This window comes from Homo sapiens, chromosome 17 (assembly GCF_000001405.40).
Source record: "Homo sapiens chromosome 17, GRCh38.p14 Primary Assembly".
In the NCBI taxonomy this organism is placed as follows: Eukaryota; Metazoa; Chordata; class Mammalia; order Primates; family Hominidae; genus Homo; species Homo sapiens.
In genome coordinates, this window is record NC_000017.11 from 75,516,308 (window position 1) to 75,537,337 (window position 21,030).

At 54.9% G+C, this 21,030-nt stretch overlaps 2 protein-coding genes across 30 annotated transcripts in view, besides 6 other annotated features; both read left to right on the top strand.

Annotated features, from left to right (window-relative positions):
* Positions 1-295: an enhancer, noted in NCBI's record as "tiled region #12010; HepG2 Activating DNase unmatched - State 1:Tss, and K562 Activating DNase matched - State 4:PromP". NCBI's record gives its function as "activates a minimal TATA promoter and a strong SV40 promoter by Sharpr-MPRA in HepG2 and K562 cells {active_cell/tissue: HepG2 | K562}" and the evidence as "EXISTENCE:reporter gene assay evidence [ECO:0000049][PMID:27701403]".
* Positions 1-459: a biological region, named in NCBI's record as "Sharpr-MPRA regulatory region 12010".
* Positions 80-459: a silencer, noted in NCBI's record as "silent region_8970". NCBI's record gives its function as "represses an Ori minimal core promoter by ATAC-STARR-seq in GM12878 lymphoblastoid cells {active_cell/tissue: GM12878}" and the evidence as "EXISTENCE:reporter gene assay evidence [ECO:0000049][PMID:35858748]".
* TSEN54 (tRNA splicing endonuclease subunit 54) lies at positions 221-8,428 on the top strand. The gene is made up of 11 exons (NM_207346.3): positions 221-309; positions 439-603; positions 702-765; positions 854-937; positions 1,250-1,348; positions 2,688-2,740; positions 5,102-5,203; positions 5,398-6,026; positions 6,968-7,028; positions 7,356-7,472; positions 7,955-8,428. The coding sequence occupies exons 1-11, from the start codon at positions 254-256 to the stop codon at positions 8,103-8,105; spliced, it is 1,581 nt and encodes a 526-aa protein (NP_997229.2). The 5' UTR covers positions 221-253; the 3' UTR covers positions 8,106-8,428.
* LLGL2 (LLGL scribble cell polarity complex component 2) overlaps positions 8,695-21,030 on the top strand; it is a 50,208-nt gene continuing 37,872 nt past the window's right edge. For 15 of the 29 annotated variants that reach the window (XM_047435986.1, XM_047435975.1, XM_047435981.1 and 12 more), the window contains exon 1: positions 9,390-9,518. The gene's annotated coding sequence lies outside the window, so the exon portion shown is untranslated. The other 14 variants (XM_047435993.1, XM_024450747.2, XM_017024626.2 and 11 more) reach the window with 14 other exon arrangements.
* Positions 8,756-8,855: a silencer, noted in NCBI's record as "silent region_8971". NCBI's record gives its function as "represses an Ori minimal core promoter by ATAC-STARR-seq in GM12878 lymphoblastoid cells {active_cell/tissue: GM12878}" and the evidence as "EXISTENCE:reporter gene assay evidence [ECO:0000049][PMID:35858748]".
* Positions 8,876-9,595: a silencer, noted in NCBI's record as "silent region_8972". NCBI's record gives its function as "represses an Ori minimal core promoter by ATAC-STARR-seq in GM12878 lymphoblastoid cells {active_cell/tissue: GM12878}" and the evidence as "EXISTENCE:reporter gene assay evidence [ECO:0000049][PMID:35858748]".
* Positions 8,912-9,096: a silencer, noted in NCBI's record as "fragment chr17:73521300-73521484 (GRCh37/hg19 assembly coordinates)". NCBI's record gives its function as "represses an EF-1alpha promoter that drives an FKBP-Casp9 reporter gene in an ReSE screen in phorbol 12-myristate 13-acetate-treated (for megakaryocytic differentiation) K562 erythroleukemia cells {active_cell/tissue: K562(+PMA)}" and the evidence as "EXISTENCE:reporter gene assay evidence [ECO:0000049][PMID:32094911]".

Sequence of the window (21,030 nt, forward strand, 5' to 3'; positions counted from 1 at the left end):
CGAGGAGGGCTAGGGGCAAAAGAGGGGCCTTCTGCATCTCCAGCAACCTGCGGGCTGAGCTCCCAGACCCGGCGTCGGGGTGCGCTTCCGGGCGGGCGCTAGGACCGGGGACAATCAGGAGGGCGCAGAGCGGGCTGGGGCGGTGCAGGGGGCGGGGCTGCCGCGGCATTGCGGATCGGCGGGCACTAGGGCAGCGCGGAGCTCCGGCGGTGGGCGGGGCGTGGCGGCGCGCGCAGCGGCAGGCGGCGGCGGGATGGAGCCCGAGCCCGAGCCCGCGGCCGTGGAGGTTCCCGCGGGGCGCGTGCTCAGGTGCGGCGCGGCCCGGCCGGAGTGGGTGTCGGGGGCGCGGGGCCAGCGCGGGTAGGGAAACCGGCGCCCGGGACCCGGCCAGGCGGCCCCCGATGCGCGGCGCTGACCCCGCGTCCCCTTCTCCCCCAGCGCCCGGGAGCTCTTCGCCGCCCGCTCGCGGTCGCAGAAGCTGCCCCAGCGCTCGCATGGCCCCAAGGACTTTCTGCCCGACGGCTCGGCAGCTCAGGCCGAGCGGCTGCGCCGGTGCCGGGAAGAGCTCTGGCAGCTGCTGGCAGAGCAGCGCGTGGAGCGCCTGTGAGAGGGGCGGGCCCAGGGGTAAGGGAAGCGGGGGCGAGGCGGGCCGCGGGGTCTCCGGAATGGACTGACGCAGACCCCTCCCCACTCCTCGCCAGGGGCAGCTTGGTGGCTGCCGAGTGGAGGCCAGAAGAGGGCTTCGTGGAGTTGAAGTCTCCCGCGGTGAGCGGCGGGCTCGGGGACCGGGGACCGCCCTCCCTGCCCTCCCTGCCCTCCCTCCCTTGTGACACTTGCTCTGGGCCCCACACAGGGCAAATTCTGGCAGACCATGGGCTTCTCAGAGCAGGGCCGGCAGCGCCTTCACCCGGAAGAGGCCTTGTATCTTCTGGAGTGTGTAAGTGGGGCCCGGGAGGTGGGGAAGGAGTTGGGACCAAAGAACGGGAAGGACACGTTTTATCGGAGAAAAAGCACACACAACCCGGTCTTTAGAGAACTGATAACCAAACTTCTAAAGCAGGAGGTGGTACGTTGCAGGGAGCAGGGATTCCAGTCCACATTAGTGATGCTGCCCCACTTTCCTGGTTGGCCACATTCTTGATGCGCTGCTGAGAGGGGGAGGGGGAGGTATCAGAGCTGGGAAGTTGCCCCATTCCTCTGTGGCACTGTAGTGAGGGCTCATAAGCTGAGCTGTTGGCCCCACTTCCAGGGCTCCATCCACCTCTTCCACCAAGACCTGCCACTGTCTATCCAGGAAGCTTACCAGCTGCTGCTGACCGACCACACTGTGACCTTCCTGCAGTACCAGGTATCTGCCACCACCCCGCCTCCGGGAGCCACCCATCCACTGAATCAATGAGTATTGACAAGTACCCATAAGGTGCCAGGCACAGTGTCACATGCTGGGGCTGCAGGGCAGACGAGGGCTATGCTGTCACGAGGCTTACATTGTGGTGGTGGCCTGTTGGCTTCACATAGACCCCAGTGCTGTCAGAAGATAAGGTGGGGGAAGAGAATCCAAAGAGACTGGGCTGTTCATTCAGGTGAGAGAAGCTAGGGGCTTGTCGCAGGTTGGGGGTGGGTAGAGTTGCAGTGAGTGAAAAATAGATGAATCTCAGAAATATTTTGGAGAAAGAATGGATAGGACTGCCAATGGATTGGATGTCAGGATTAAGGAGAGAGAAGAACCCAGGATTACCGCCCATGATTTGGGCATGCACCAGTGGATGAAGGTGCTGTCATTTTCTGAGTGGGAAGAATGAAGAGGAGCAGATTTGGGAGGACAAGACCAGTCGAAAGAACTGTGTCAGATAAGTTAATTTTGAGGAGCTTCTTGGACATCCAAGTGAGTGTAAAGCAGACAGACAATTGGAATCCAAGTCTGGAGTGTGAGGAGAGGTCAAGGCTAGATGTAAATATGGGTGCCATGAGCACATGGATGGTATTTAAACTACTGGGCTGTATGGGAGTGCCATCAGAGTAGAGGGCTGGGTCTGAGCCCTGGGGCTCTCTGTGTAGGTTAGGGGGCAGATAAGAAGCAGAAACAGACCGAGGAGTGTCTGGTGATGCAGGAGAAAAACCAAAGTCGCATCACAGAAGCCAAAAGAAGGTCTTTCAAGGAGGAAGTGGTTAGCTGTGCTAAAGCCTGCTGAGATCAAGCAGGATGGGGGACATTCTTATCTATGTTCCTCTGATATGAATGCAGGGACACAAGGTTGAATATGTGGCTCCCTACCAGAAACTTCCCACCGGCATCTGTGGAGGTGTGGGGCTGGAGAGATGCCCACCACCTGCCATCATTTTGTTCACATGGTGATCGGCAGCTTCACTCCTATGAGCTTTGTATCAAAATACTCAAGTATTTCAGGGCGTGGTGGTTTTCTGGTTTCATGGCTATCAGTTTTTTTGGATTTGGCTAAATGTCATTTGTGCCGAGTAAGGTAAGTGGGAGGACAGGAATTCAGAGCCTGAGATCTTTAGGGATGGTGTTCGTAATGAAGCATGGTCCAACCTTAATCACAGGGTTTAGAATCTGGGGGTGTACAGGAGGGGCAGAGAGGGCTGTGGGGATGGCCTGTGTCTGGAGAAACCATTTGGTGTTTTCCAGAGTGGCCATCTGAGCTTTCATTTTTTTTTTTTCTTTTGAGGTCTTCAGCCACCTGAAGAGGTTGGGTTATGTGGTTCGACGATTCCAACCAAGGTAAATCCCCTTCCTGTTCCCCTTCCATATATTCTAGTCCTGGGACCTGGCTGACTAGTCTAAGGTAGAAAATGGCCTCTCCTTACCTGGAACCCTTGGCTGGAGTGCAGTTCCTTGGGCACAGACTGGGGGCGCCTGCTGGAAGCGTTCTGAGAGAGGCAGGTTGGGAGGAATCCAGGTCATTTTGTTTTATTCTGGTTTATGAACTCGAGCCGCATCTTCAGATGACCTGCGCCTGCAGCTGAGTGTGTGTGAGCACTGAGAGGCAGGATTGGAACAGTGCCTGGCACTTAGTAGGTGCGCAGGCAGGTATGTAGAGTGTATGCTTAAATGAAGGACTGGGTGAAGAATTTACCATTAGTAGGGTTTCACATTTTTCATGCCAGGTTAAATGTTTTTTCCTTCATCACCTTAGTAATCCAGCATTGGTAAAAGGCAGAGACCTTCAGACTTGGAGTGGAAACGGGTACAGCTTTTGCAGTTACAGTATGTCACAAAAGCTCTAAAGCAGGCACATCTTTTCTTTTCTTTTTGAGACGGAGTCTCACTCTGTCGCCCAGGCTGTAGTGCAGTGGCATGATCTCAGCTTACTGTAGCCTCTGCCTCCTGGGTTCAAGCAGTTCTCCTGCCTCAGCCTCCCAAGTAGCTGGGATTACAGGCGTGTGCCACCATGCCTGGCTAATTTTTTTATTTTATTTTATTTTTAGTACAGATGGGGTTTCACTGTGTTGCCCAGGCTGGTCTCGAACTCCTGACCTCAAATGATCCTCCCGCCTCAGCCTCCCAAAGTGCTGGGATTACAGGCATGAGTCACCACGCCCAGCTCTACATCTTTTCTTTTCTGAAAGTGGAACCTATCCTAAGGAAATAATCGTGGACGTGTACAGTGGTTCACCTGTGAGAATGATCAACGATATTTATTATTTGCTGGGGGTCAGGCCCTGTACACATCGCTGAGAACAGAAGAGCAAAATCACTGCCCTCACAGAGCTTGCATTTAGTGAGGAGTCACACAGAACACACTCACTGTGCAAAATCAGTGTACTTGCAAACAAGAGTTGAACAAGAGGCAGGCTCACACAAATGAGAGGTTATCCCTTAGAGCAGCTCTGTCCAATAGAACTTTCTGTAATGATGAAAATGTTCTGTGTCTGTGATGTCTAATACATGGGGCTAGAGCAACTGTGGGACTGAATGTTTAATTTCATTTAATTTAAATGTATTTAAATCTAACTTAAATAGGCTGGTGTGGTGGCTCACGCCTATAATCCCAGCATTTTGGGAGGCCGACGCGGGCGGATCGCGTGAGCTCAGGAGTACGAGACCAGCCTGGACAGCGTGGTGAAACCCTGTCTCTACTAAAATACCAAAAAAAAAAAAAAAAAAAAATCAGCCAGGTGTGGTGGCAGGCGCCTATAGTCCCAGCTATTCAGGAGGCTGAGGCACGAGAATTGCTTGAACCTGGGCAGCTGAGGTTGCAGTGAGCCGAGATCTTGCCAGTGCACTCCAGCCTGGGCGAAAAAGCGAAACTCTATCTCAAAAAAAAAAGCAAACTTAAATAGCCACCTGTCGCTAGTGGCTCTTTTTTGAACAGCATTGCCTTAAAGCCTTAATTCACAGCCAGGAGGCCAGGCACAGTGGCTCACACCTGTAATCCCAGCACTTTAGGAGGCCGAGGCAGGTGGATCATGAGGTCAGGAGATGGAGACCATCCCGGCCAGCATGGTGAAACCTTGTCTCTACTAAGAATACAAAAATTAGCTGGGCATGGTGGCACGCGCCTGTAGTCCCGGTACTACTCGGGATGCTGAGGCAGGAGAATCGCTTGAACCCAGGAGATGGAGGTTGCAGTGAGCCAAGATTGTGCCACTGCACTCCAGCCCGGTGAGAGAACGAGACTGTGTCTCAAAAAAAAAAAAAAAAGAAAAAGGAAAAAATTCACAGCAGGGAAGAATGCTGCAGTGACGGGGCTGTGTCCACAATATATTATTGAGTGAAAAAAAAGATCACAAAGCAGTATGCTAGTACAATGACATTTTTGTTAGAAAAAAATATATGGAGAGAGATTAGTGTGTACATAAACGAAAGAAAGATGTTAACAATAGTTATCCAAGGTTTTTATTTTTCTATATTTACCAAGTTTGCTAGCTCCTCTGGGCCATTGCCTAGGCAGAGGCACATGGCTGGGCCCCCTGGCTGGGCCTGTACCCCTCATGGGGGTCTGCTTAGGGCCTTAGCACTTGGGTGTGGCTCCGATCCTGGCCCACTGACTGTCCTCTTGGCCCGTTTCCTTACACATCCCACCAGATCCCCAGGCTGAGGAGGTGGGTCAGTGGCCCACCCGCTGTTCTCACCCCACAGCTCTGTCCTGTCCCCGTATGAGAGGCAGCTTAACCTGGATGCCAGCGTGCAGCACTTGGAGGATGGAGATGGCAAGAGAAAGAGGAGCAGCTCCAGCCCTCGGTAACTCCCACATCACGGTGGCCCCCCAGGGAGTGCTGGTGTCTGGGACCTTGGAAAATGCACAGGCTTTCTAAGAACCAGCAGCTCCCATGCAGGCTCAGGGAGACACTAGGGGACCTGCCTTCAGCTCCCATGGGACGTGTGCACCTTAGCAACCAGGGGCAGATGTGCTGCTTTTCCCCCACGTCCCTCAGGTCCATTAATAAGAAGGCCAAGGCCCTGGACAACTCCCTGCAACCCAAGAGTCTGGCAGCCTCCAGCCCACCTCCCTGCAGCCAGCCCAGCCAATGCCCAGAGGAGAAACCCCAGGAGTCAAGCCCCATGAAGGGCCCAGGGGGCCCCTTTCAGCTTCTGGGGTCCCTGGGCCCCAGCCCTGGCCCGGCCAGGGAGGGGGTGGGGTGCAGCTGGGAGAGTGGCAGAGCCGAGAACGGAGTCACGGGAGCCGGTAAGCGGCGCTGGAACTTCGAGCAGATCTCCTTCCCCAACATGGCTTCAGACAGCCGCCACACCCTTCTGCGCGCCCCAGCCCCAGAGCTGCTCCCGGCCAACGTGGCTGGGCGGGAGACAGACGCTGAGTCCTGGTGCCAGAAGCTGAACCAGCGCAAGGAGAAGCTCTCCAGGCGGGAACGGGAGCACCACGCGGAGGCCGCGCAGTTCCAGGAAGATGTCAACGCCGATCCCGAGGTGCAGCGGTGCTCCAGCTGGCGGGAGTACAAGGAGCTGCTGCAGCGGCGGCAGGTGCAGAGGAGCCAGCGCCGGGCCCCTCACCTGTGGGGCCAGCCCGTCACCCCGCTGCTGAGTCCTGGCCAGGCCAGCTCCCCAGGTACCCCCTCAGCCTGCCACATCTTCGAGGGCCACTGGCAGCTGAGGAATCACAGGACTTTGGAAAGGGCATGGATGAACTGGGATGGATTGAGGCTTAAGGAAGATGTGGGAGGAGGGAGTGGACCCACAAGCACGGTCAGTTCTCCGGCGGCTGCAGCAGGGCCTGTGTGGGAAGGCTTAGAGATGGTGAGTCAGGAGAGGTAAGGAGGGGTGGAAACTATGACCATATCCTTAAAAAGATAAACAACATGCATGTGGATGGCTTTGCCACCAACTAGCTGTGATCCCAACCTGTTAGATGGGAAAAGGAGGTGCCTTCTTGGCCAAGTGAAAGAAAGGCTTGCTGTCTGCTCTAAGCCCAGGGAACCAATGGGGAAAGAATAAGCTAAATGTGTTAACGGATTCCAAATTACTTAAAGCCTTTATGGGAACACGGTAGATTGTAGGTAACTAGATAGGGTTGCCAGATCAGTTTGATTTGACTTTCAGTATAATTTTTCAGTATATGTTCCAAAAATTGCATGGGATATGCTTATACTAAAAAAAAAAAAAAAATGTTGCTAGGCTGGACACGGTGGCTCATACCCGTAATCCCAGCACTTTGGGAGGCCGAGGCGGGCAGATCACCTGAGGTCAGGAGTTCGAGACCAACCTGGGCAACATGGTGAAACCATCTCTACTAAAAATACAAAAATTAGCCGGGTGTGGTGGTGCACACTTATAATCCCAGCTACTCAGGAGGCTGAGACAGGAGAATTGCTTGAACCTGGGAGGCAGAGGTCACAGTGAGCCAAGATCACGCCACTATACTCCAGCCTGGGTGACAGAGTGAGACTCCGTTTAAAAAAAAAAGTTGCTAAATCTGGCCGTCCTAAACTAGATGGCAGACTGAGAAATGTGACTCCCCTCCCCAGTACCTTGTTTTCTGTGTCCTTGTAGCCGTGGTCCTTCAGCATATCTCTGTGCTGCAGACAACACACCTTCCTGATGGAGGTGCCCGGTAAGTTTCCAAGCAGTGCCGTCTCTGCAGTACCTTGACCGCCAGGAGTTGGTGGTTAGGAACTGGCTCCTGAAGTAGGGTGTAAACTAGAGGACTGTTCCAGGGACTCCTACCCCTACGCCTAGCTCTGAGCAATAACTAGTGTTCGTGTGTGTCTAGGGAAGAGGGAGAATAACCAGTGGGTTAGCCCAAGGGTTCAGAGCCCCCAACCCTCAAGTGGCACCTCTGTGAGGCTGCTTCCTGGAACTGGTGGAGGGAAAGGGTGGGATGGAAAAGAAAGGTTGGGGAGAAGAGTTCATGTCATAACGTTTCTCATTGTATTGTCAGGCTGTTGGAGAAGTCTGGGGGCTTGGAAATCATCTTTGATGTTTACCAGGCCGACGCTGTGGCCACATTCCGAAAGAATAACCCTGGCAAACCCTATGCCCGGATGTGCATTAGTGGGTACGCAGTGAGCCAGCACTGCCCCTCCCCCAGCTGCTGCCAGTTCTCCTGTGAACCAAGTGGGACTCCTCTGTACTCCCCTGGCCAGCGTGCCAATCTCTGAGAGGAACAGGAGGTCCAGAGAGGCTAAGTGACCTACACAAGGCCACACAGCCAGTTTGTGCTGCCCTACTCTGAGCTCCTCGTTGCTGGCATTTTAGGGTAGTCTTTCTCCAATGCCATTTTAGTCTAGGACTCACCCAGCAGAAGGGATGTGGATTGTGGGGATTTACAGGCTAAGAGTGGTGAGCACCTTGCTCTTCCTAGCACCTCCCCAACCAGTGCTCTGGGGCGCTCTTCATCAGAGCCCTGTGTTTTGGAGACAGAACTCATGGGTCAGAATTCTTGCACCCCAACTCCTTCCGTAGAATCTCTTCTCTGGGAGCCCTAGAGCTTAGGAGTGGGCTATGGCTGGGTCTCACTCTAACCCTTTGTCCCTGCAGATTTGATGAGCCTGTCCCAGACCTCTGCAGCCTCAAGCGGTTGTCTTACCAGAGTGGGGATGTCCCTCTGATCTTTGCCCTGGTGGATCATGGTGACATCTCCTTCTACAGCTTCAGGGACTTCACGTTGCCCCAGGATGTGGGGCACTGACCTCACAGCTCTGCAGAGGATGGAGCTTGCTCCGGGGGACCGGGACTGTCTGTTCTCAGGGACCATCTCGGCTGCCTCCTGTACCCAGACTCTAACCTGTAGCTTCAGAGGCCAGTCTGGGCCTTGGCCCTGGGTGTCTGATACTCACAGAGTGAAACTGTGACCCTCTCCCTTCCCTGCTGCCTTGCAGTGACCCCTCTGGAACTCAGGACTCGATTTTAAGGACCCAGGAGGTGGGGCAGAAGAGAGGACTGTGTGCCTTTAACGAGAGGGTGCCTGCTTCGTGCTATAAAGCCAAAGCCATTAAAAATAGATTTCTTTTCTGCTGTTTCTGTATGTACTGGGTAAACCCCTCTCGCCCCCGTCCCGTTGTCAGTGGAACTGCCCCCAGCCCCTCACCCCTGCTTTGCCCACTCAAGGAGATCCGCTTCCTCTGGTGCGGGATCTAAGAGTGAGAGAAGCCCGCGGGATAGCAGGAACGCGACCTCGAACCTTTTGAGCCTTTCCCGGGCCTGCGTCGGAGGGGATGGGACGTCGCAGGCTTCCCGAAGGGAGGAGGGAGGACGGCGCGCCATCGGCCCTTCCCTGGGCGCAGCGGGGTGCGGGTGGCGAGAGGCGCCACCTGCAGCTGGGCGGTGGAGCGCGCTGCAGCCCCGGCCTCCGCGCCCTTTCCGCTCCCGCCTCTCGTCGCTCCAACCTCCTCCCTCGCTTGTGCTAAAAATTCCACCCGCTGTTGCAGACCCTCCGGCCGACACGGAGGAGGTGGGCGCCCCCCCGCACCCCCCCCCGAGGAAAGGCGTCTCGCCGCGACGCCCCGGTCCCTACACCATCCCTCTCGTGGGGCTGGAAACCCGGCCCTGCGTCCCCCGGTCACCCTCTCTGGGCTGGGCTCTGGCAGAGGAGCTGGCCCGGATCCGCCCCTCCCTCGGCAGCTCCCGGGAGTTGGAGGGACGGCTCCCCTGGAGTCTGGGAGGCGGCCCGGGACCGCAGGCGTTCCGGGAACTATTTCCGCTTGCGGGAGGCGGCGGGACACTGGGCGCGGCGCGCCGTTCTGCGTCCAGGTGCGCGCAGGTGAGGCCGGGGCGGGCCTGCGGAACCCCGAGGCCGTTCGCGAGGCCCCGCCCCGCGCTTCCCGGGGCCGCGGATTGGCAGGAGCGCAGCCCCCACCCCCGAGGGTGCCCCCGCCCCTGCGGCGCCGAGCTGGGGGGCGGGCCGGGGGCGGGGCGCTGGGCCCCGGCAGGCTCGCCCTTTATGTAAATAGCGCGGCTCCGCCCCAGGCTCGCCGCGCCGGAGGTGAGCAGGAAGGAGACGGCCGCCCAGCAGCCCGTGGGCAGGCGCGGCGGAGCGAGCGGGGCCGGCGGCGGGCGCCGAGGGACGCCGAGGCCTCGGGCGGGGGCTGGCCCGGGGTTCCAGGTGAGATGCGTGCCGGACTCGCCCAGCCGGGCCCGCCCCCTCGGGGCTTCCACCTGGGGCGGGGAGGCCAGGGAGGCCCAGGACCCCTGGGCTGTCGGGCCAGGGCGGGAGGGCTGCGCCCAGGTCCGCGCGCCTCGCCCCTGTCCGCGTCGCTGTGCTGGCCTGGAAGAGAGACACCTGTAGAAAGTTCTGCGGGAAACTTCTCTGCCTGATCTGCGCGATGACTGAAACTTGGGCTTGGGTTTGCACAATAATGTTGGCTTAGGAGAGCAGGAGAACAGGTGCCCCGGCCGGCTGGGTGCGGGGGGCACCGCGGGCAGAGACGGAGTCCCCGGGCCCACGTGCAGGCGCCAGGCCAGCGGGGTTGGCGACGCGCGTCTGCGGTGACCCCCTCCCCACGGGCGGCGGCCGGAGCGCGGTGCCCCGGCGGCTTAGCCCCTGCCCCTGCCATCTGGGCTGTGTCCCTGCCGGCCCTTTGTGCCTCCTAATCCCCGGACGCAGGAAGCCCGCGGGAGGGACTTCGGTCTCCGGCCTTTCTCCAGCTGGGGCGGCTTTGGACACCTTCACATGACAGTGCGGAGACCCAGTCTGCCCTCCATGCTGACGGGCGGGGTTTGCGCTGTGGGATTTGGCGAGAAGTGGAAAATTCTATCTTGCCAAAGAAAGTGTGTCTTAGTTTGTTCCGGCTGGACGATTGGTGGACACGCTGGGCCTTGGCTGTGGGGAGAACTGACCTAACCAGGGGAGCTGTAGAGTGGCGCTTTGAGGCTCTCACCTGAACAGGTGAGCTTTGAGTGAGGAGGGCGCCCCTTCCCCTGGGGATCCGTATGCGACTGCCGGCAGCCTTAACCTGGGCTCCAGGGACCCCCTGCTGGAGTTTGTAGTTCAAGAGAACCTTGAGTTCTCTTGAAGGGGCTACAGAGAGGATTCTGAGCAGGGAGCGGGCAGGGAGGGAATGGGTGTGTCAAGGTGACAAGGAAACGCTGGTAGGAAGAGCAGAGCTGCCACAGAAGAGCTGTGGCCCAGCCCGGGGGAAGCCAAGGTCAGAAGTGGCAGTTGAGGCTGGGTGCATTGGCTCACAGCTGTAATCCCAGCACTTTGGGAAGCCAAGGCAGGAGGATCGCCTGAGCCCAGGAGTTTGAGACCAGCCTGGGCAACATAGTGAGACCTCGTCTCTGCAAATAATAAAAAAAGTTAGCCAGGCATGGTGGCGTGCACCTGTAGTCCCAGCTACTCAGGAGCCTGAGGTGGGAGGATTGCCTGAGCCCAGGAGGTGGAGGTTGCAGTGAGTCATGATGGCGCCACCACACTCCAGCCTGGGGACAGAGTGAGACCCTGTCTCAAAAAAAAAAAAAAAAAGTGGCATTTGAGGAAAACTGTCTGGGTCTGTGTGAGCAGAGGCACAAGGAGAACTGTGCGAGAGATGTCTCAGCTTTATTTTATGAACTGGGATTTGGGGTTTAGTTTTCTTAGGCGATCTTCCCACAGTGCTAGCTGTGGCAGACAGAACTCAAACTCAGCTCTTAAGCTTCTAATCAGAGTTCACTCCTTTCCTCTGAAGTTAGACTGGGCCCATCTTTGTGGGGGCTCCTGGACAGGGTTTCCGGGGTCCAGGGTCATTTGGCATCCCCATTCTTCCTTGAGGCAAGGGAGTTTCCCCTTTGGTGTCAGATTAATATGCTTTTAATTATATTAAAATGACACTACATTCATAAATAAGAAATAAAATAGAAAAAAGTAACTTTTTTCTCTTTTTTTTTCTTTTTTTTAAACTAAGTTGACCAAATTCTTTTTTTCTTTAATAATATGTTTTTTAATTTGTAGAGATGGGATCTCACCATATGTTGCCCAGGCTGGTCTCAAACTCCTGGACTCAAGTGACCCTCACACTTCAGCCTCCCAAAGCGTTGGGATTACAGGTGTAAGCCACTGTGCCCAGCTGTTAGTAACTTTTTTTTTTTCTTTTTTTGAGGCAGAGTCTTGCTCTGTCACCCAGGCTGGAGTGCAGTGGTGCAATCACTGGGAGATGGAGGCTCACTGCAGACTCGACCTCCCAGGCTCAAGTGATCCTCCCACCTCAGCCTTCTGAGTAGCTGGGACTACAAGCGCGCAGCACCATGCACAGCTAATTTTCTATTTTTTTTTTAGAAAGGGGGTTTTGCCATGTTGCCCAGGCTAGTCTTGAACTCCTGGGCTCAAGTGATCCTCCTGCCTCCCAAAGTGTTAGGATTACAGGCATGAACTGCCACGCCAGACCCGTTAGTATAAATAACTTTTTATTATTTTTATTTATTTATTTATTTATTTTGAGACAGAGTCTCGCTCTGTCACCCAGGCTGGAGTGCAGTGGCGAGATCTCGGCTCACTGCAAGCTCCTCCTCCTGGGTTCACGCCATTCTCCTGCCTCGGCCTCCCGAGTAGCTGGGACCACAGGCGCCTGCCATCACGCCCGGCTAATTTTTTGTATTTTTAGTAGAGATGGGGTTTCACTGTGTTAGCCAAGATGGTCTCGATCTCCTGACCTCGTGATCTGCCCCTCTCAGCCTCCCAAAGTGCTGGGATTACAGGCGTAAGCCACCGCGCCCGGCCTTAAATAACTTTTTAATATACCGCAACATTAAAAGAAAAAAAGGCCAGGCGTGGTGGCTTACACCTGTAATCTCAGCACTTTGGGAGGCCAAGTTGGGCCGATCGCCTGAGGTCAGGAGTTTGAGAGCAGCCTCACCAACATGGAGATACCCTGTCTCTATTAAACATATAAAATCAGCTGGCCATGGTGGCACATGCCTGTAATCCCAGCTACTCAGGAGGCTGAAGCAGGAGAATCGCTTGAACCTGGGAGGTGGAGGTTGCGGTGAGCCAAGATCACGCCATTGCACTCCAGCCTGAGCAACAAGAGCAAAACTCCATCTCAAAACAAACAAACAAACAAAAAATGGCCCATAATCCCAGGTGATCGCTGTTCATTTAAAAAATAGAAAAGGCAATAGGAGCCCATAGTGGGAAAAAGGAAACATTGTAGAAAGTGTAAAATTAGAGAGCAAAAAATTAGGCCGGGCAAGGTGGCTTATGCCTGTAATCCCAACACTTTGGGAGGCGGAAGCAGGCGGATCACAAGGTCAGGAGTTCGAGACTAGCCTTGCCCACACAGTGAAACCGGTCTCTACTTAAAAATGCAAAATTAGCCAGGCGTGGTGGTGAGCGCCTGTAATCCCAGCTACTCAGGAGGCTGAGGCAGGAGAATCGCTTGAACCCAGGAGGCAGAGGTTGCAGTGAGCCGAGATCGTGCGATTGCACTCCAGCCTGGGCAATAGAGTGAGACTGTCTCAAAAAAAAAGAGAGCAAAAAATTATCCCTCCTGCCTGACAGTCCTTTTCTTTTTTTTTCTTTGAGACGAAGTCTCCTCTGTCGCCCAGGATGGAGCACAGTGGCGTGATCTCAGCTCACTGCAACCTCTGCCTCCCAGGTTCAAGCAGTTCTCCTGCCTCAGCATCCTGAGTAGCTGGGATTGCAGGCAGGCACCACCAGGCCCAGCTAATTTTTGTATTTTTGTATTTTTTGTAGAGACAGGGTTTCATCATGTTGGCCAGGCTGGTCTTGAACTCCTGACTTCAAGTGATCTGCCTGCCTCAGCCTCTCAAAGTGCTGGGATTACAGGCATGAGCCACTGCACCCGGCCCCTGCCAGTCCTTTTATCTTCATCCTTCATCCTTCTATCCTTCATCTCTTTAAAAACAAAAAATAAAAAAAAATTAGGCCGGGCTCTGTGTCTCACGCCTGTAATCCCAGCACTTTGGGAGACCGAGGCAGACGGATCATGAGGTCAGGAGATCGAGACCATCCTGGCCAAGATGGTGAAACCCCATCTCTACTAAAAATACAAAAATTAGCTGGGCGTGGTGGTGCGTGCCTGTAATCCCAGCTACTCAGGAGGCTGAGGCAGGAGAATCGCTGGAACCCAGGAGGCGGAGGTTGCAGTGAGCCGAGATCGCGCCACTGCACTCCAGCCTGGTGACAGAGCAAGACTCCGTCTCAAACTAATAATAATAATAATTTTTAAAAAAAGATTTTTAGTGTCTTTCTAGGCTTCAGGTGTAGTTTTGACTCGTTCTTTGCCGAGTCCTTGCTGTGTGACCCTAGTGTGGTCACTGACCCGTGCTGAGCTTTGTTTTCACAGATGAGAAGATGAGAAAGGTCACTAGCACGTGTGGCCTGCCACACAGCAGGCACCCAGTGAGGGTGGACTCAACTTCCATGAAGCATAAGAGGCATCCGTCTGTCCCAGGCCTTTGGGTGGGCACTTGGGCCTTTTGGAAGTGCCTGATGGGTTTAGGGAATTTGTCTTCTCTGGAAATCAGCTGACGGCTCATGAATTTGTGATATTTTAAAGTCTCTGGCTGGGCATTTTGGCTCATGCCTGTAATCCCAGTGCTTTGGGAGGTGGAGGAGGGAGGATTGCTTGAACCCAGGAGTTCAAGACCAGCCTGGGCAACAGTGAGATCGCGTCTCTACAAAAATTTTTTTAAAAAATTAGCTGGGCATCAGCCAGGCGCGGTGTCTCACGCCTGTAATTCCAGCACTTTGGGAGGCCGAGGCAGGCGGATCACGAGGTCAGGAGATCGAGACCATCCTGGCTAGCACAGTGAAAACATGTCTCTACTAAAAATACAAAAAATTAGCTGGGCATGGTGGTGGGCACCTGTAGTCCCAGCTGCTCGGGAGGCTGAGGCAGGAGAATGGTGTGAACCCGGGAGGCAGAGCTGGCAGTGAGCCGAGATCGCGCCACTGCACTCCAGCCTGGGCGACAGAGCGAGACTCCATTTCAAAAAAAAAAAAAAAAATTAGCTGGGCATCGTGGTGTGCACCTGTTGTCCCAATTACATGGGATCGTAGGAGGATCGCTTGAGCCCAAGAGTTTGAGGCTGCAGTGAACTATGATGGCGCCACTGCACTCCAGCCTGGGTGACAGAGTGAGACTCTAACTCAAAAAGAGAAAAAAAGTCTCTAGGGGTCAGAAGTTTTTCAGCGAGGACCTTTTTCAGGAATTGAGGGCAGCAGTGGAGGGCGCGGCTTCTCCTAAATGGACCTTGCATTCCAGTGGCCCTTGATGCTTCCCTTGCTCCTTGGGAGGGCCAAGAGTGAGAGCCGGTTGCCTGGGAGTCTTTCCTGTGGTGGGGATGTCGGAGAGTGCAGGATTAAACCTGCTGTGAGTTCTGCCCCAGCTGAGGAGTGCTTGCTGGGTACACCCTCCTCACCCTGCTGGGTGGCAGGGCAGAGAGCACAGGCCTGTGCTGCTCTGTTGGCATTAGGAGACTTTCTAGGAATGCCATTGTGCCCCCTTTCAACCTTGCTTGGGGAGAGGATGTCCTCTCCTGCCAGGACTTCCTGGCCCCGGGACCCTCCCTTTGGAAGACGAAGTGCTGCCTGGGACCAGGTGGCCCATGAGCCCCTGCCCGCACTGTGGGAGATCTGCGCATCTCTGGCAAGAGCCTCCAGGAGCCATCTAAGGAGTTTAGTTTCCCCGGGGAGCTATTCGGCCTTCCTGGTCTTTCCAGATGAGTCAAAAGCAGCTGTTGAGACCTCTGAGTTGGGGGCCAGAATGGAGGCCCAAGAGACCAATGTTCTTTCTCCTGGGCCGGCTGCTTTGAGCAGCACTGGCAGCCTGGACTCATTTGTCCTCAATCCTCAACTCTGAGAGGCCCTCTTATCTGTCTTAGGTGATATCGTTCTCAGGGTTCCTCCTGGGGCGAGGCACGCCAGGTCTGCTTGGCAACGCTGTTTTCCTCTGTCAGGAGCAGTTTGCAGAGAGAAAACTGGGGACAGGGCAGGAGACGGGCGTCCCCCAGCGGGGCCACCAGCACTGTTTGCCCTCCCCAGCCCTGGCTCCCTAGGAATTCCAAGGAGACCCTCGCTCACTGTGCCCGTGGCCATGGCTTTGCTCAGGTCCCTTTGGGGTGGCCTTCCCCACAGCCCTGCCTCTCAGAGGAAACTGGCTTTGAATACTCACCCCTCTCTTCTTCCCAGGAACCACAGCGAATTCTTGAGCTAGGAGAGGCTGCTCTGGGCGTGGGGACGAGGAGGCTGCAAGGCACCTGACTCTACCCTTCAGGAATTCGGCAGAGACTGGAGCCTTCTCTCGAGACACCTGACTTAGTGTTCCCAGAGTTTGATGAGAGGGACATCTGGGCACAGGACCATATGACTGTAATAAATTATATATATGTATATATACACACACACACACACACACACTTTTTTTTTTTTTTTTTTTTTGAGACGGAGTCTTACTCTGTGGCCCAGGTTGGAGTGCAATGGCATGATTTCGGCTCACTGCAGTCTCCCCAGGTTCAAGTGATTCTCCCACCTCAGCCTCCCCAGTAGCTGGGATTACAGGTAGCTCCCCAGTAGCTGCTACCATGCCCAGCTAATTTTTTGTTTGTTTTGAGACGGAGACTTGCTCTGTTGCCCAGGCTGGAGTACAGTGGCGCGATCTCAGCCCACTGCAAGCTCCGCCTCCTGGGTTCACACCATTCTCCTGACTCAGGCTCCCGAGTAGCTGGGATTACAGGCGCCCGCCACCACGCCCAGCTAATTTTTTTCTTTGTTTTTTTGTTTTGAGTCTGAGTCTCGCTCTGTCGCCCAGGCAGCAGTGCAGTGGCATGATCTTGGCTCACTGCAACCTCTGCCTCCCGGGTTCAAGCAATTCTCCTGCCTCGGCCTCCTGAGTAGCTGGGATTACAGGTATGCGCCACCACACCTGGCTAATTTTTGTATTTTTAGTAGCGGGGGGGTTTCCACCATGTTGGTCAGGCTGGTCTCTAACTCCTGACCTCATGTGATCCACCTGCCTCGGCCTCCCAAAGTGCTGGGATTACAGGCATGAGCCGCTGCGCCCAGCCCTCTAGTAAATAATATTAACATTTAATATAATTCTGGAATTCTCTGGGGGTCCTGGAGCTTTGGTTAAAGGCAGGGTCCACAAGGGTATTCCGAACAGGATGCCAGGCATGACGTCCACAGGGCCCTGGCCTTGGCCGGAGACTTGAGGACAGGGTAAGGAAGTTCCCTGAGAACCCTGTGGGGTCCTACCTCAGTGTTTCGTGGGGTCAGTGATTGGCAGATACCTTTTCTAGTTAATCCCTAGTCAGTCTTAACTGTTCGTTCATTCATTCAAGTACTTTTTTTTTCTTTTTTTGAGGAGTCTTGCTCTGTCGCCCAGGCTGGAGTGCAGTGGCGCGATCTCGGCTCACTGCAAGCTCTGCCTCCCGGGTTCACGCCATTCTCCTGCCTCAGCCTCCCGAGTAGCTGGGACTACAGGCTCCCGCCACCACGCCCGGCTAATTGTTTGTATTTTTAGTAGAGACAAGGTTTCACCGTGTTAGCCAGGATGGTCTTGATCTCCTGACCTCGTGATCTGCCCGCCTCAGCCTCCCAAAATGCTGGGATTACAGGCGTGAGCCACCGCACCTGGCCCTTTTTTTTTTTTTTTTTTTTTTTGAGATGGAGTCTCACTCTGTCACCCTGGCTGGAGTGCAGTGGCACGATCTCGGCTCACTGCAAGCTCCGCCTCCCAGGTTCACACCATTCTCCTGCCTCAGCCTCCTGAGTAGCTGGGACTACAGGCGCCCGCCATGATGCCCAGCTAATTTTTTGTATTTTTAGTAGAGACAGGGTTTCATCATGTTGGCCAGGATGGTCTCGATCTCCTGACCTCATGATCTGCCCGCCTCGGCCTCCCAAAGTGCTGGGATTGCAGGCATGAGCCACCGCGCCCAGCCCGTTCAAGTATTTTCTGATGCCTCTTGTGTGGTTCTAGATGTTGGATGTGATCCTTAAACAAAGCAAAGATGTCTGCCGTCGTTGAAAGTTGTTTCTAAAAGGTGAGAAGCCTGACTGACAGAAAGTAAAAGTAACTAATAAATTGTGTTAAAAGGTGATACGGGCTATAGGGTAAAAAGAACTAGAGCAACAATTGGGAACCCGCATGGTAGGGGGCAGGTTACAACTTTTAACAGGTGGTTAGAGTGGGCCTCTGCCAGAAGGTGACATTTGAGCAAAGCTTTGAAGGAAGTGAGGGAGCTGTTTAAATAAAATTCCAGTCCCTCCCATGAGGCACCTGGATGAGGCCAGCACAATCCCCACCTCCTGGAGCTGACATCTGGAAGCTTCTTGGGACAGCTGTTCCAGTTTTAGGGCAGGTAGGAGGCCCTAGAAAGGGGCCTGATTGGATGGGCTGGATGGCCTGCCCACGCCAGCCCCAGGCAGGTGGTCCATCTTCTCCCCAGAATGGTTTTGCTTTTCCTTGGACTTGGCTTTCTGCCAGTCACTTCCCTGGAGAGAGAGTCTGGTGTTGGATTATGAAAGGGGGCTAAGGCCCCCAGAATGGGGGTGCGTTCCCACCTTCCACCCCATCCTCACAGGCCCAGGAGGGGCAACAGAAAGGAAACTTCAGGAGGAGTCTAGGCATGGCGGGAGGATCCTCTTGGGGTTGTGGGATGGTTGTGATTCCATAGGATAGATGGTGGGGGGAATGGAGGCTGACCCCAAATGGGGCCCATCCAGCCTGCGAGCAGGCAGCCCCTTTGTCCTGGGAGAGAGGCCTGACCTGAGCGGAGGATTCTGCAGTCAGATTGGAATGCAAATTGGGGCTTGGATTTTTTTTTTTCTTTTTTTGAGAAAAGGTCTCGCTCTGTCACCCAGGCTGGAGCACAGTGGTGCCATCATAGCTCACTGCAGCCTCAACCTCCTGGGCTCAAGTGATCTTCCCACCTCAGCCTCCTGAGTAGCTGGGACTACAAGTGTATGCCACCATGGCTGGCTAATTTTTAAGTTTTTTGCTGAGACAAGGTCTCCCTAAGTTGCCCAGGCTGGTCTCGAACTCCTAGGTTCAGTGGATTCTCCTGCCTCGACCTCCCAAAGTGCTGGGATTACAGGCATAAGCCACTGAGCTTGGCAAAGGACTTGGACTCTTGACTGTTTGAGCTTGGGGCCACTCTGAATCGATCACTTCATAAGTAATTGTAAGAATTAAATAAGGTGAATGTAAAGTGCTAAAGTCACATCCAGCCATAGCTAGCTCTCAATCCCTTTTACTACTTAATTAACAACAGCGGGGACGACAGTCCTCCAGTCATGCCCCCATTCCCTCTGGTTTGTGTTCCCCTAGATCCCACTCCATGGAACTGCCTTTCAGCCAAGGTTTGGTTGCTAAGCTGCTGGCCAGGGACCTGCCTGGTGCTTCTGGGAGACTGGGCTTCCCAGGGCGACATGGGCACTTGCAAAGCGGCTACAGGCGTCTGAGTTGGCACAGATGCCGCAGGGGTCAGCAGCTGCCTCTGTGGTTTAGATCCCTGCCCACCAGTGCCATCAGAGTAGGAGGTGCAGGGGCGGATTCACATCCGTCAAACAGGAGGCCACAGCCACACTCAGGCCTCACACAGGATGTCGCAGAGGGGAAGGCAGCTTCTTAATCAGCAGCGGGCTGTGGGGAGCACGAGCGAAGAGGAGAGGAGAGCATGGGACATCAGGTGGCACGCCCTGAGAGCAGGCAGCTGGCGCTGGGTGCGGCCCGGGGGCCCTCTCTGGTTTCGGCTGGGTCTGGAGTCCTGCCGCTGGGTGTGGACTCTCCCAGCAGATCAATGAGATCAATGGAACTTCCCGAGCTATGGAGGGAGTTTCTTGAGGGCTGGCCCCTCCCACATCTCCAGGCCAGAGGGCTGGCTGGGCTTGGCCAAGCCTTGGTCTCACAGGGACAAATTAGCCCAGGTGCCCCAAACAGTGGCAGGGTGGGAGAAGCAGTCTGGCCTGGGGATCCCCTCTCCTCCGAGGCACAATCGCATCTGCCACTTAGAGCGAGGGGGGCCCAAGGCAAGTCCACCCCGTGTGGTTATTCTCTCTCTCTGCCCCCACTGGTCTCTTTCTTGAGCTCTTGAGATGGAAGGCGGGCCAGGGTGTGGATTTTGTGGCCTGTCACCAAGTGGAGAGCTCTCCTGTTCTTTCCAAGTGGGTGTCCAGGTGTGTGGACACCTGTCCTAGACCCAGAAATATTTTGCCGGCCAGGTGCAGACGTGGGTGAGTGGAACAGTGAGGAGGGAAGGAAACAGGTCGATCAGCTGCCCACAGGGAGCTCTCAGGCTGGTTCCACATGCAAGGCACAGACTTGGGTAGAAAGTGGATGGGAACCAGCCACAAGGCAGCAAGCCTTTTGCGGCCCGGCTCTAAACCCTGGCGCCCGCCAAAAGGGAACAGAGCAGGGCAGAACAGGGAGGGTGGCTCAGAGGCTGGTCTGGTGACAGGCAGGAGTGGAGACTGAGGTTGGATGGCCTTTAGAAGTTAGTGGGGTGGAGAAGGTTTTCCTGAGAAGCCTCATCTCAGAGGTGGCGCTCTGGCTAGGTGGCAACCCCAGTGACCATTTCTGGTGTTAGACTTGAGGACTTGGGGGGCTCCTCAGCCTGTGGGCTCCTGAACTTGTCTCTTCTCCACATTCCTCCCAGGTGTGTCACTTAAGTGCACAGCACCTGAGAGTTTGCCAAGCCCGCTCCCTGGCCCTGCTTTAAAGCCTCGGGACGATGGAATAGAAAAGTCCTTTCTACTCAGGACCCTGAAACCCAAGGTTGCACAGCTAGTCCCACCTGCCTGTCTCCCCGCCTTTCCGGGCCTAACTATTCCGTGTCTCTAGGGGGTACCTCTCCCCACTCAGGTTGCGGTGGCTGGAGAGGAGCCCACGCCTGGTGAGCACCGGAACATTCCACCAGCAGGACAGGGCTGGACCCACCCTCCCGCCTGACCATGCCTGGGGCCTCTTTCCTTCTCTCTTTGATCCTCTTATCCACCCTGCCTAGGAGGCAGATAAACAAAAAGGAGAAAAAAGAATCACCACTAATCCCATAACCCTTCCGAGTACATTGTCAAATATAGGGATTTTTAATAGATTCTACCTGACTCTTGGATTCTTTGTACATATAGTCCCATGCCATGAAATGGTCTTTTCTCCATTTATTTATTTATTTATTTACTTTTTGAGATGGAGTCTTTCTCTGTCACCCAGGCTGGAGTGCAGTGGCGCTATCTGGGCTCACTGCAACTTCCACCTCCCGAGTTCAAGCAGTTCTCCTGCCTCAGCCTCCCAAGTAGCTGGGGTTACAGGCACCCACCACCATGCCCGGCTAATTTTTTTTAGTAGAGACGGGGTTTTGGCATGTTGGCCAGGCTGCTCGCAAACTCCTGACCTCAAGTGATCCACCCGCCTCGGCCTCCCAAAGTGTTGGGATTACAGACGTGAGCCACAGCGCCCGGCCCTTTTATTCCTTTTAATGACTGGAAGCCTTTTGTCATAGGCCTGAGCACACTTCACCCATCCCCTGTTGTGGGCCATTTAGGTTGCTTCTGATTTTTTCTGACAGCTTAATAAACAGCACATCAAGGCCAGGAGACATGCATGAGCCTGGGAGGCTGTCCCTGTCCACCATGGTTTCAATGGATCATTTTATCCTAAGGTGTGTTTCTTCCCCAT